Below are 14,385 nucleotides of genomic sequence, written 5' to 3'. Positions count from 1 at the left end.
AATGTAGCTTTAAAACCACAACCCAATCAGTCCTTCATTGCAGGGGAATTCACTAAAAACTAGATCAGTGCTGACAGTTTCCTTTTTTTGGGCTAGGGTGCTCAAAATTAAAATTTATTATTCTTGAAGTTATGAAGCATCCCATGTACTAAAAAAATAGGCTAAATCATGTCATATTCAAACAACTTTGGACTAGACAGAAATAAATTACTATTCATGTGCAGGTTTTAGAAGCTCTCAAAGTTCAACCAATTTAGTAGAAATTACTCTGAGCATTATTTCAAGAAGGTTTAAGTTAATTTAAATATTGAATAAGACATTTACAAATGTAGTCAGAAATATATATATTTTAAATTCTTGGATGATAAGACCACTAGCCATTATCAATAAGCAATCACATTAACAAAATTTGCTACATAAGTAAAAAAAAAATAAAGTATTAATTCAAAACAGCAGAAAAGTATGTCCTTCATGTATACAAGAGATATTTAATGAGCACCATCAAAAGCCCAGGTAGTATTCTAATGGCTTGTGTGAAAAATAGTGATGAGGTTGCTGCTGCTCTCATGGATGTTATATTCTGGAAATTAGGGGGTATTACATAGATGATAGAGAGATATACAGAGATAAAAATAAATAATAACATATCACATAGAGAAAAAATAAGGCATTTAGTACAGAGTGACTAGGTAACTCTAGTAGTCAGAAAAGCCTCTAAGAAATTACATTAGTCTGAGATCTTAATGACAAGAGGGTCAGTCTTAAAAAGATGAGGGAGAGAATTGAAAGAAGGAACAGCTAGCACTGATGGCATGGTGGTGATGGAGGAAATGGTATGGAAGGGAGGATTTTGCAGACAAGCAACTGATTCCAATTTTATTTTAAGTATCATAGAAAGCCACTGGCAGATTTAAAGCAGATAATGAACATAATTTGATTTGTGTCTTTAATGTATTTTTAAATCATAGATACATATATATACACATACCTTGGTTAAAAAATAAATGATTGAGGAAAGCCTGAGTAGAAGCAGAGAAATCAGTAGGAGGTTATTACAGTGAGCTAGGTGACAGATGATAGTGTTTTGCACTAAGGTAGTCATAATAAGATGGAAAAATTAAAAGATTCAAGACATTGTTTGTTTGAATGCATACTTAATAGGACTTGCTAATGTGGACAGGAGTAAGAGAAAAAGAGGAACCATGGAAAATTCCTATGCTGTGGCTGGAATAAGTAGGATAATGGCTCAGCACTGCTCACCAAATGGAGAGGTCAGTACTACAGGATGGGTAGGGGAGGGGAATTCAAGTTTATGCCTTTTATGTTTACCAGCATAAAGATGATATTTAAAGCCATAGGGCTCAATGAATTACTAAACAAAATAAATTAAGTTGAGAGCACAATTTGACACTTAGGACTAAAGACTTTGGAGAAACGACTTAGAAATATCCATTTCATTGGTGTCCTCAAGGCAAGTGTCATAACACATATTATGCAGTTGAAAAAGTAAAGGTGTAGACACAAATATGTAACTGGGTTACCAGTTCTAGTATAGATAATTTGATTAACATTTTTAAAATAATTCCAACAGTCATAACAATTTTATTTGTATGCAAATATATTATAATTTTAGGAGAGTAAGCACTAGCAAGACATTTTATCTCACTTGGAAGAAAGAAAAGTCTATAATTATAATTGTAAAACTTATGTAATTCTAAAATGAACAGAGGACACTGGGCACTATTAAGTTTTAGCAACGTAGAATCTAAACACCATTTATATTGAAAAAGAATTCGAAAATATTTGGAGACAGGACTTCACCTTCCAATGCAGAGTCAAAGAAGGAATGAAAATAAGTCCTAATCTCTAAATTTTTATCCTGAGATATAAAATACAACCAATATTTTTCTATAATAATGATAATATAGCTGAGGTAGCCAAAAGTAGAAAGTAAAATATGATCCTGCAGACTGTTAACTTCTGTTGAACACACCAGTTAAGTATAAATTGGGACTGTTAAATGGGAAAGTCTGGTACACCATGAACTGAAATAGGGATAAAAGGATCCCCAAAGGTCGACAACCCAGAAATCCTCAACCCTTCTCTATAGTGTTCTGTTCTTTCTTGTTGCAGATATGTTAATATTTTGGTTTAACACATTTAAAGTCAAGAAGGATTATAAACCCTCTCACAAATAGTAAAAGGATTTTCCAACACTTGAAATCTAATCAATCCCATCTTATATGCTATGGTTTTTCATTATTCTCTTTCCTTTTGTATTTAATTAAAAATAATTGTTCTCATACTTATCATTATTACTTTATACAAACAGTATTTTATTTACATTATGTTATCTAGATTATTTGCCTATGATTTTTATTTTGTATCTCAAACCTGGGATCTGGGGTTATTTCATTTCTTTCCAAAATACGTATTTTAAAAGTTTCTTTGGTTAACATGTGTTAAATGTTGCATATCTAAAAAGATATTTATTTTGCCTTCATCCATGAAAGATATTTTTGACAGGTACAAATTCTAAAGTTGACATTAATTTTTCTTCATATTTGAAAGATTATTAATCTATTGTTCTTTAGTTTTCATTTTACTCTTAAGCTATCCACTCCCAATCTATTTGTCATTCTGTTGTAATTGATGTGTATTTTCTCACTGGCTGCTTTGACAATTTTCATTCTGTCTTTGTTCTTCAAACTTACTAAAAAGCACCTAAATAAAAATTTCTTTTGACACCTTAATAGCATATGCTATAAATTTTTTGTTACTTCTGGAATATCATCACCCATTATATTTGCAAATATTGTCATTCTGCCATTTTCTTTATTCTGTCCTCTAGAACTCCAGTTAGATATTTGTTACTGTTCCTTTTAGCATACATATTTCTTAACCACTCTTTTATATTCTACTTCCTTTTATGTTTTGTATTACATTCTGGTTAGCTCCCAAAACTCTATCATCCATTTTCCTATCTCTCTACTAAACTTTATCTATCTTTTTCACTCAAGTATTTTTTTTTTTTTTTTTTTGAGGCATAGTTTCGCTCTCCTTGCCCAGGCTGGAGTGCAATGGCGCAATTTGGCTCACTGCAAGCTCTGCCTCCTGGATTCAAGCCATTCTCCTTCCTCAGCCTCCCAAGTAGCTGGGATTACAGGTGCATGCCATCATGCCTGTCTAATTTTGTATTTTTAGTAGAGATGGTGTTTCTCCATGTTGGTCACACTGGTCTTGAACTCCTGACCTCAGGTGATCCACCTGCCTCGGCCTCCCGAAGTGCTGGGATTCTACAATTACATTTTTTTGCATCTAAAATTTCTATTGGGATAGTTTTTAAACCTACCAAGACATTATTGATTGTTTCCTGTAATTATATCAGTTCCATTTTATTTTTATCCCTTTATATGTTTCAAAGTAATTTATATCTTAAATTTGATCATTCCAATATCTGAAGTCATTGGGGGAAATAAGTCTATTGTTGTTTCCCTATATATCAACCATGGTGACTTATTCTCTGCCATGCTTAGTAATTGTGTTTCCTAAAGTAAACTCATTTTAAAATATAATCTGTGAGATTGGTTTGGAACCAAATGAAAGATGTTTTCTCTTGAATTTGAATTTGCATTTGCCCTTTCTGGTTTTAGAAGGTTTTATCAACCGGAGAACACTTTTGTCCCTTCAAGGTTCCAAGCTTAACGTAGGAATTTCAAATTCAGCTTCTCTATATTGCTGGACTCCCATGGATTTATCTTTCCATCACACCACTGAAATATGCACTTTCCTTCAGAACAAACTGCTTTATTTTATCATTTCATTTTATTTTAGGCACCTTTAAGATTTAACTTATTTTAGCAATTCTTGAAGTGCAGTAAACTTTGTATTTGTCATAATTTACCCAGGACGCAGTGTTATTTTATCATAGGGACCCTTTAACAGTTGTTTTATCAGAATTTATTCTGCAGCACTGCAAAAAGTAAAACTAAGGTTTTGTCTTAAAATAATGTTTTTTAAAAATTACATATAAAAGATTTTATTCTCCATGTAACAAACAAGACAGTGAACTCCCAATAGAGATGATGTAGTTCTGGCCATCAGAAAACATTACTATTTCACATACTAAGATCACTCACAGTCCTGATTCAACACAGGTTTGGATATTTAATTGCTTTGTACAATAATTAAAAATCTATTTTTTAAATGCTCTGATTCCTTAATAATAAGTATAAATTTTATAAGACAAATAAGTATATTCATCAGAAAGAATCAATAGCCTTGTGAAGTTATTGTAATACTCATTTGACATTTTCAGGATTACTTTACATTCTTTAAATAATGTCTAAAATAACCACATATGGAAGTAAATTATTTTGATCAGACTGATATAAATGGAAATCTGTGCATGTTTAATAACAAACACTACAGCATATTTGTACATATTGAGTTTGAGGGGACTTGAGTGAACTAAATGTGTTGATGTAGGTGCCCTTAGCAGACAATCTGCCGGCTTGAAAAGCTCACTACATTCATAATGGTATGGTGGGTTAGTTAGCCCAAACTTAGAACCAATGTCATGCCCACTTCAAAGAATTAAGGTTTCAGACATCCCTTGGCATACTGTAGAGAAAAGAATATGAAGACTTGATGTTAGGAATTAAAGGTTAGCTATACCATAGCTACAAAAGCAGGTGAACCTGCTGTAATTCAATTGAGTTGCCTGTTTCTAGTGGAGCTAGGATGACCCCAGGTGCAAAGGCCAAGTAAAAGCTATTAACTATAATAAACAAGGTACCCAAGTAATTAAACGGTTTGACTTGTAAGTGATTAATTATTTACAGAGCCCCTAATTTAGAATCAGATCCTAAGATTGAGAACAGACACTAGGTTTGTTTTGTTCACAACTATATTCAGGATGTCTAGAATTATGTCTGCTACCTAACAGAAACTCAACATTTGTTGAATGAATGCATACACAGACACACGAAAATCTCACGAACAACGAGCACAACAAAAAAACTCCAGGTTTGTTAAAAACTGGCCAAACAGCCAAGATTGTGAAAATGTTCACCAGAATCCGACATTTTAGTGTATCTACAGAAGCCTATTCATTTTTAATCTAAAGTTCTTCAAAATTAATGATTGATTTGAAGCAAAAAGTAAGATATCACAAACTGATTAATTCTGTATAATTATGAATGTAGGAGAGAGACACAATGTACACTTTTGCATATGTAGATAAATATGGCACTATGTAAGATTTAGTACCAATTTAATGTAATTTTTATGTTTTATGTTTTATTTCTAAACATTCTCATAACCTTATGAAGAGTTAAATGTATTTAGCCTAATTACACTACAGTTTAGTTATATATTGTAATGTTAAAACAAGCCTGTCTTCATGTAATTCTATATCCACCTTAAATCTCGTAACTAAATATTTCAACCAAACGGTCCCCAATCCTACCCTTCACAGGTTATCTGTGGAAAAACCTGCAGTTCATTTTATCTGCTCTTACTTGAAGCTTTTGGAAAAATACATAAAATTGTGGCAAAGGACTTCATTACTGATTATTCCCAACCTCACTTTTCTTCACAGAATTTTACTCATCTCCAAATAGCAGTCTTTCTTATTTGCCATAATCACTCTTCCAAATTTTCACACCTCTCCCAAACACAACCTTCTTTTCATAACGTTCCCTGGTAACCTCATCTGTTATCCTTTTTCTCTCTTCTCTACTTTCACCAAATAGATTTCAAAAATTTCTTGACAAATAAATTCATAAACAGACACATTCAAGTGAAAGACTAGTGTCGTAATAACTGAATGTGAATGTTCCAATGTATTTTATGCAATGAATTCTGTTTCACAGTTAAGGAGTCTTTTTAAAACCACTGCCACTGGTTGAGTCTACCCAATTTTAAAGAAATAATTACAGTATAAATTTAATTTTTGCAAATGAATAATTTGAAAACATATGAAAGATTTAGTATAGGCCCTGAGTGCTATAAAATTTTAAGAGAGATTGTTTCCATTCTTTCAGAATATAAAATATAATTGGGCAAAAGGCTAGATGAAAACTTTTATGAGTGCTCCTATAGGACCTTTTCTAATTTATCCTGTCCATTTTATATGTCATGTTAATAATACGTCTGCTGCTCTTCATTTGCTTAATATTATTACAAATCTTTTATATCTTCACCCTTTGGAGTTATTGTTATTTGAAAATATTACACATAGAGACCAAAAAAAAATCAACCACTGAAATAAGCTGTACTTAAGAGGACTTGGAAAATTCCTAAACCCAGAAAATATTAAAAATGGTTGGAAAAACAGCTGTCTTAAACGGACATTGCCTATAGTTAGGAGAATTGGCTGTGTGCTGTGATTTGCTGATAATTTAGAATATAGGTCTGCACAGTAATTGAACTAACCTTTTATAATATTCTGTCAACATATATATTGACAGTGTAAGAACATATATGTTTACACAGTCTCTTCCTCTTCATGGAACATAGAAATCAACATCAAATGCAACTCTTATACTTCCATTAAGTTAGTAACAACAGCATTGATTTCTACATCATATCACTGGAAATATAGAATGCTGAAATAAGTCACCGTAGGATTTTATAAGAGAATAATCAATTTTTATGTGGTACTTATATAGCTAAATGAAAATTAGATGACTTGTTTACAAACTAAGGGTATTTCTACTAAGTAAATTGATTCTACAAAATCCAATAGTAAATACCATGTGTGAACTGCACAACCTTTACATGTTTAAAAATAAAAATAATTAACAACGTTGACAGAATATTTTATTAATGTTCAGAAGTAAAAACTTTAGGAAACATGTTCCTTTTATGGTCTTTTTTTACAACTTAATATTCGCTAAAGAAAACAAAAGATTTAGGAGACCCAAAAAAGTCACTATGTATTATTTAATGATGGAAAGACAAGGGACTGGAATGTGTGGCATCCTGCAGAGGAATGTGGTAATGACACCACACATACTGTCACCAGTTATGCCTACTCTAGGGCTTCTTGCCATTTCATCTTTTGATAAACTTTTTTTCTTATTAAAGTTTGCGATTCTACATGCTTGACAACTGAAATGGCTGAATCTTTGAATTTTTAATACTTCTAACTGAATCTTGATATAGTACTGTAATTTAAAAAATTGAACTTAAAAAATTTATAACACAATGCCTTCTTTCTCTAGATAAAAATTCAATACCCCATTGTACTCTCTCCTGCCATCTCATGACTTCAATAAATAACAATATTATAATAAATCAATCTTTTTACTATTAACAGATTACTTAAGCCATCAAGGCTCTTTTCCATTCACTGTTTTTTAGAAGTCATCTGCAAGCTGAAGGTTTTATCATTTGCCAGCAATTAGTAAGAAAAAAGTAACAAGGTTATGTTTGAGGAAGTATCAATTCTTTCAGGTCACAATAATAAATGAGAAGTACAAAATCTCTGAAGGGAGATAGACCTCAATCTATAACCTATCTCTGCAATTTATTTTGTGGCTTTGATCGAATACATAACATTTTCACATTATTTGTTATTTCAGTAAGGTGAGCTATATTGTACAAGGTGTGTGTGTATGAGAGACAGAGAGAGAGAGAGAGAGAAGAGAGACAGAGACAGAAATTTAACATACACAATATAAAGTCCTGAAATAACATGTTGTTGGCAATAAATGGGAAAATATGTTTGTCAGCATTAATGGACTATTCTGTGTGGGACACAGAAGATGGATCCCCATCTTGAAGTTATTACAATTTTTTTTTCCTTTTCATTTTAGAGAACTGGATCTTGGTGAAACTAATATAATGAGTAAGATAATGTCACACTAAGAAGTCAGAACTGCAAATGTAACTTTTGATCTCTCTGAAAATTATTCTGTAATTCAAGCCTCCATTCCAAATAAAGGTAGATAGCATCAAGTCAATATGTTCATCATAGTCAGTTGAGGTACAAGTTAAAGCTGCACAGTTTCCTTGATCTTTTCTCAGGGGAAGCTTTGACATTCAGTGTCTACAGAGGAGAGGCTGTCTTACAACATCAACAACTTGTGGAGGAGGCCTTTGACCCCTAGTCTTTGCTGGCATCAATTTTTCCACCCATTTCTTCCGGTCCTTCGGCTTGGTTGTGCTATCATTTATGGCTGCCTCTTCCATCTACCATGAGACACCTTCAAGCCAAGCCCTCCAACTCAACTAAAAACCTCACCTGCTCCCTGACACCACTCTAGGCAGCAGCAGTCAAGGTGGCTGTTCCCAAGTTCTCTCTGCCCATACATGCCAATTAGTCAGTGTATTCCTCTGCTATCAAACCTTGATCACATGGCACAGGGAAATATGAAACGAGGACTGCACTGGCTTCCTGGGTTCTCTTTCTGCCCTCAGATCCCTAAATAAGTCTGAAGATTTGTTTGTGTGGTTAGAACTCAATGTAATAGAAATAGAAACAGGTTCCTTCCTGAGACACAATTGTTTCACAATACCTACTCTAGTTAGGTGTTATCCTTTCTTCAACCAGTCCTATGAGAGTTTATTATCTATTTTTGTGATGTAATAAGAGTAATAAAACCTATGACTTTTTCTGTTTTACTTTGAATTTCTGCTATCACCTTCCTTTCCATGGCAGGGCTTTAAAGCCAAGGCCTAGTTTGAAAATAAAGAACTAAGAAATAAACAAAGGAATTGCAGGGATTATAAAAATAAAGGGTGTACACCTTCACAATATCATCCTTTCACAACAAGAACAAGAATTTGAATGAAAAATTACGACAAAAGAGGCCACTATGCCAACCAATAGCTGCTAAATTATCTCCTCTTCTCTAACCTGTTAATTTAAAAATTGTTATTCAAATGATGCATTCATGGGAAAGCTCAATCACTTTTACTCAATAAAGCCTCCTAAAATATATCATAGTTAATTTGCCTTTTAAGTACATCATTTATTGAAATTCATTTGTTGATTCATTCACCAGGGCTTTATCGTGAATCCTTTATTGCCCAGGATCAATCCTGGACGATGGAAATCCAAAAGTGAAGACATATTCCCTGACCTTATGCAATTTATAGTTCAGTGGACAACAGTCCCCAAGACAGATAGTTATAAACACGTTATGTTAGTGTTTCCATGGGAACACCCGAGAGGAGCACCTGGCCAAAACCAAGGAGTCAGGGAAGATTTCCTGAAAGACGTGCCACCTTGTCTCACTAAATGTTAAAGGAGGAGCAGTGGTTAACCCAGAAGAGATTGAGAAAACACTATTTCCACTAAACAGCAGGAGCAGATAAAGACCACTGCGTTTGTGCAGTAAGTTTATCTGTAACACAGGGATGGTAAGAAGTGATGCTTGCAAACAGAGAAGTTACCCATAAATGAATTTGCCTTGTTTCTTTTCGGTTGCTGACAAGGATCTTTGACAGGAATTCAGCAGAAGGACAGCAAATGGTCACCACTGCCCACTGAATGAGGCATCTGGGTAGAGAGCTTAGATTACAACTGGATTCCCACATTCCTGAATTCTTGTGCATCAAAGTTCTCAAATTGTACTGCACTCAGTTGGTAACCTCCTTCACTATATTCAGTGTAATAGTAGGAACTCCAGTTCTAAATGAAAGTTGTTGATTCAAAAACTGAACAAATAGGAAGACAAAAATTATCCCTCTGTGTTCTTGGATTGATGAGAGACCAAGAAAAACAGGACTTTTGTGCCTTTCCTCATTCTCTGGGTCAACTAACCTATCTGGTAACTATCAGGGAAAAGAATTGACATTTTAAGAAATAATCCGAATTAGATATTTTGGGGTTTTATGTAATGAGGTTAAATTTGAAATATAATAAAGATTATGCTTCTCCTTTTTTCCCCCCAAGGGCTTCAAGAACAAAATGAAGAATCATAACCATAATTATGGCAGAAACTCTGAAAAGTTCTTCATTCCACTACCTCATGGAAGACACACAGGTCCTAAGTAGTTTTCCCTCTTATTATTTCATAGCTTCTCTCTGGAGCAGAGATCCTTCTACATCCCATCCTTATAACTGTTTTGAATCAAACTTTTCCCGTTCATATGCTTTCCCATTCCAATTCACTATAATGCTTTAATTTGATATTTCTTATTAAATAAGGAAGTAAAAAAATCAATAAATCAATAACCACTGCTCCTCCTTTAACATTTAACGAGACAAGGTGGCACGTCTTTCAGGAAATCTTCCCTGACTCCTTGGTTTTGGCCAGGTGCTCCTCTCAGGTGTTCCCATGGAAACACTAACATAACGTGTTTATAACGTGTTATAAGTTTGTTTTCAAGATTAAAATTGGAATCTGGCCGGCCGCGGTGGCTCACGCCTGTAATCCCAGCACTTTGGGAGGCTGAGGCGGGCGGATCACGAAGTCAGGAGATGGAGATCATCCTGGCTAACACAGTGAAACCCATCTCTACTAAAAAAAAAAATTCAAAAATATTAGCCTGGCATGGTGGCTGGCGCCTGTAGTCCCAGCTACTCGGGAGGCTGAGGCAGGAGAATAGTGTGAACCCAGGAGGCGGAGCTTGCAGTTAGCCAAGATAGAGCCACTGAACTCCAGCAGTATAATATGTAATTTATATAGAATATAAATATAATATATATATAATTTATATAGAATAAAAATATAATATATATAATTTATATAGAATAAAAATATATATATAATTTATATATAATAAAAATATAATATATATAATTTACATATAATATAAATATATATAATTTACATAGAATATAAATATAATATATATAATTTACATAGAATATAAATATAATATATATAATTTACATAGAATATAAATATATATAATTTACATAGAATATAAATATATATAATTTACATAGAATATAAATATAATATATAATTTACATAGAATATAAATATAATATATAATTTATATATAATATAAATATAATATATAATTTATATATAATATAAATATAATATATAATTTATATATAATATAAATATAATATATAATTTATATATAATATAAATATAATATATAATTTATATATAATATAAATATAATATATAATTTATATATATTATAAATATAATATATAATTTATATATATTATAAATATAATATATAATTTATATATATTATAAATATAATATATAATTTATATATAATATAAATATAATATATAATTTATATATAATATAAATATAATATATAATTTATATATAATATAAATATAATATATAATTTATATATAATATAAATATAATATATAATTTATATATAATATAAATATAATATATAATTTATATATAATATAAAAATAAGGAAGTAAAAAAATCAATAAATAAGCAAAATGTATGCTTCTTGCTCACATATTCTATTAATAAAATGAATTATAGCTTTCTAAGCCTATAAATTTCCCATAAAAATCTACCTGTATCTTCCACATTAATTGAGATGTTAAAAGTAATTACATGTGTTATTCAAGGAATCATACCACATTTCATATTAGTATTTTGCCTTTGGAATTAAATTATGATTACTTCTAAAAATATGGAGTCACTGAGATGTAAATTAACCATGAAAATAAGTACTGGCCTAGACAGACATGGAAAGCAGAGAACCAATAGCTCAGTAAGAATCAAGTATTCCCTTATGAATACTTCCATTGCTTTTGAGTTGCTTCTTCAGATTTTATTTTTGGGTATTAATTGTTACCTTCTCAACTATTCTATCTTCTCCAAGCAAAAAAAGTTGGATTTTAAGTGAAGGATAAAACCTATGCCATCAAGACGTTGGAAGCTAACAGCCTATACTCTATTATAGGTTTTTGAACAACTAACCACACAGGCACTTCCAAACTTTATCCATACATACCACTGACTTTAATTGATTGATTGTTAGTTAATTGCTTTGCTATGTATTCCTTGTCTTAACCCACTAACATGGAGCTACACAATGCATTAGTACTAAATAGGAGGTGTAAGATTATATAACTTTTAACTGAAAGGTTGGATCAGATCTGGATCATAAATAGTTTTAGGATGCTAATCATTTTAAATTGCATATATATTATATCCACTATATTATATATATGTTGGATCAGATCTGGATCATAAATAGTTTTAGGATGCTAATCATTTTAAATTGCATATATATTATATGCATTATATTATATATAGGATATATAATATGTAATATATATTGCATAGATATTATATATAGAATATATGTGTTTATATAGCATATATATTATACATATTAGATGCCTTTGATCTAGGATGACAAACATTTTTCCCCTTAAATGTATTGCTTTATTAGGCAAAGATGAGCATCATCAAAATATACACTAGCAACACATGTTTAATACTTATTTGGTAATCTACCATGACATTTGCTAAAGCAATATCTACATGAAATTTGTTAAAGCAAGGAAAAGATTACTTTGAGGTTTATTTTTGAAGATTTTCAGTAGGTAGTCATTTTATAGAACATCAGTGGTATATATTTGATTTGTTAAATACATTTGCTTTTCCATCTCTTAGTATATTTGATTTTATATATCTCATATATATATATTCATTACCATCTTTATCAAATGTTCTAATAGACAGTACTATATTTGTGATTGCCCTATTCACTATGTACCTTTTACTGTAACTTCCATTCACATGTGGTATAAGAGTAGTTTTAACAACCAAAATGATCTAGAAATCAGACTCAATTTTGTGTTTCTCATTATAAATGGAAAATTTACGTACTGGAATAAACATCAAAATACATTTTTAGGAAAGTATAAAGTAAGTATTTTTAATGACCTAACTCTAAGTGTGAACATTAATAAACACTATAAGCCTCAAAATTTCCTGTTAACAATAGCGCAGAATTTTTTAAGTTTGTTTTCAAGATTAAAATTGGAATCTGGCTGGGCGTGGTGGCTCACGCCTGTAATCCCAGCACTTTGGGAGGCTGAGGCGGGCAGATCACGAAGTCAGGAGATGGAGATCATCCTGGCTAACACAGTGAAACCCATCTCTACTAAAAAAAAAAAATTCAAAAATATTAGCCTGGCATGGTGACTGGCGCCTGTAGTCCCAGCTACTCGGGAGGCTGAGGCAGGAAAATGGTGTGAACCCAGGAGGCGGAGCTTGCAGTTAGCCAAGACAGAGCCACTGCACTCCAGCCTGGGTGACACAGCGAGACTCCATCTCAAAAAAAAAAAAAAAAAAAAAAAAAAGGTAATCTAATTAACAAAGGTGAATCTGAATTTTAAAAGGCAATTACAATAAGTTCTGAACAATTAAAAAAGTTTTCTGAAATTCTTTTAGAATTTCCTTTTGATTCTTTCCCTGAAGAATACTGTCAAATTAGAAACGCAGAACTTAACAATAAAAGTTATATTAAGAAACAAAGCAACTGAAAGAACATATATTGGTGTACACTATATACTCTTTTTTGTTGCTAACGACATTTTACGAAACTGGAAGTTTTTTTCCTAAAACATCAATCTGTACTGATCTCCTCCCTTTTCCAAAGTCACAGCTTCCTGATTTTATAACTAATTTGGTATCCATGTTAACTATTGTGCATTGATGAATAATATTAATCAGTAATCATCAATTTGACAGTCAATAATTACATTCAAATACTTTGCATTTACATTTTAAACAAATTAGTCACACAGTTCACACTAAATTGCACAGTTAGTAGCCCTTTTCCAATATGTTTTATGAACACATTTAAAAGTAAATATGCTTTTTCCAATAACAAGATTATATGTTTCGAATTCAAACACTGTAATGTTTGGTATTCCTAAGCCAATTTTAACACCAATCAATGGAAGTATAAAGCAGAAACTGAAGTGTTTTATTAGACAGCAATTTTGAGATAGGAACTAAACCAAATACTTCTGAGTGCTCTACCATTAGAGCCTCCAGGGAAAATATGAGTCAAAAGGTTAAATTACACGCAACAAATAGCTTCCCCATTCTCTCAATATACAAGATCAAACATTTCCTAATTATCAGAATTGAAGTCCAATGAGTTTTGATTGCCTGAATCAACATAATTATATAGCTCATTCATAAAAAAAATTTTAAATCCACTTCTCTGTGCAATATGCTTTTTTTTTTTTTACTTTAAAAGAGGTTGTATAACAATCAATAAGAAGGCAAATATTTCAGGCTATTAATCAGTGCAAGCACCCCACCTAGTAGAAAATGAACATGAACCCACAGAAGGGCCCGAAGGGAAGAGAAAACTTGAGTGAAGGGAACAACCCAGGAGAGTGGCCCATGCTTTGACTTTTCCATGATGGGGGATAATTATACCTACCTTATGGTAATTTATTGTAGC

At 31.8% G+C, this 14,385-nt stretch overlaps 1 protein-coding gene across 4 annotated transcripts in view, besides 1 other annotated feature; it reads right to left on the bottom strand.

Moving 5' to 3' along the window:
* Window positions 1-14,385, bottom strand: part of CNBD1 (cyclic nucleotide binding domain containing 1) — a 562,238-nt gene that overhangs the window by 280,791 nt on the left and 267,062 nt on the right. The gene's annotated exons all lie outside the window — the stretch shown is intronic.
* Window positions 6,755-7,256: an enhancer, noted in NCBI's record as "NANOG hESC enhancer chr8:88152834-88153335 (GRCh37/hg19 assembly coordinates)". NCBI's record gives its function as "activates a minimal SCP1, AML or CMV promoter by ChIP-STARR-seq in primed H9 embryonic stem cells {active_cell/tissue: H9 hESC(primed)}" and the evidence as "EXISTENCE:reporter gene assay evidence [ECO:0000049][PMID:30033119]".

This window comes from Homo sapiens, chromosome 8 (assembly GCF_000001405.40).
Source record: "Homo sapiens chromosome 8, GRCh38.p14 Primary Assembly".
Taxonomy (NCBI): Eukaryota; Metazoa; Chordata; class Mammalia; order Primates; family Hominidae; genus Homo; species Homo sapiens.
The sequence above is the reverse complement of the archived record's forward strand: the minus strand, read 5'-3'. Positions and strand labels throughout refer to the sequence as shown.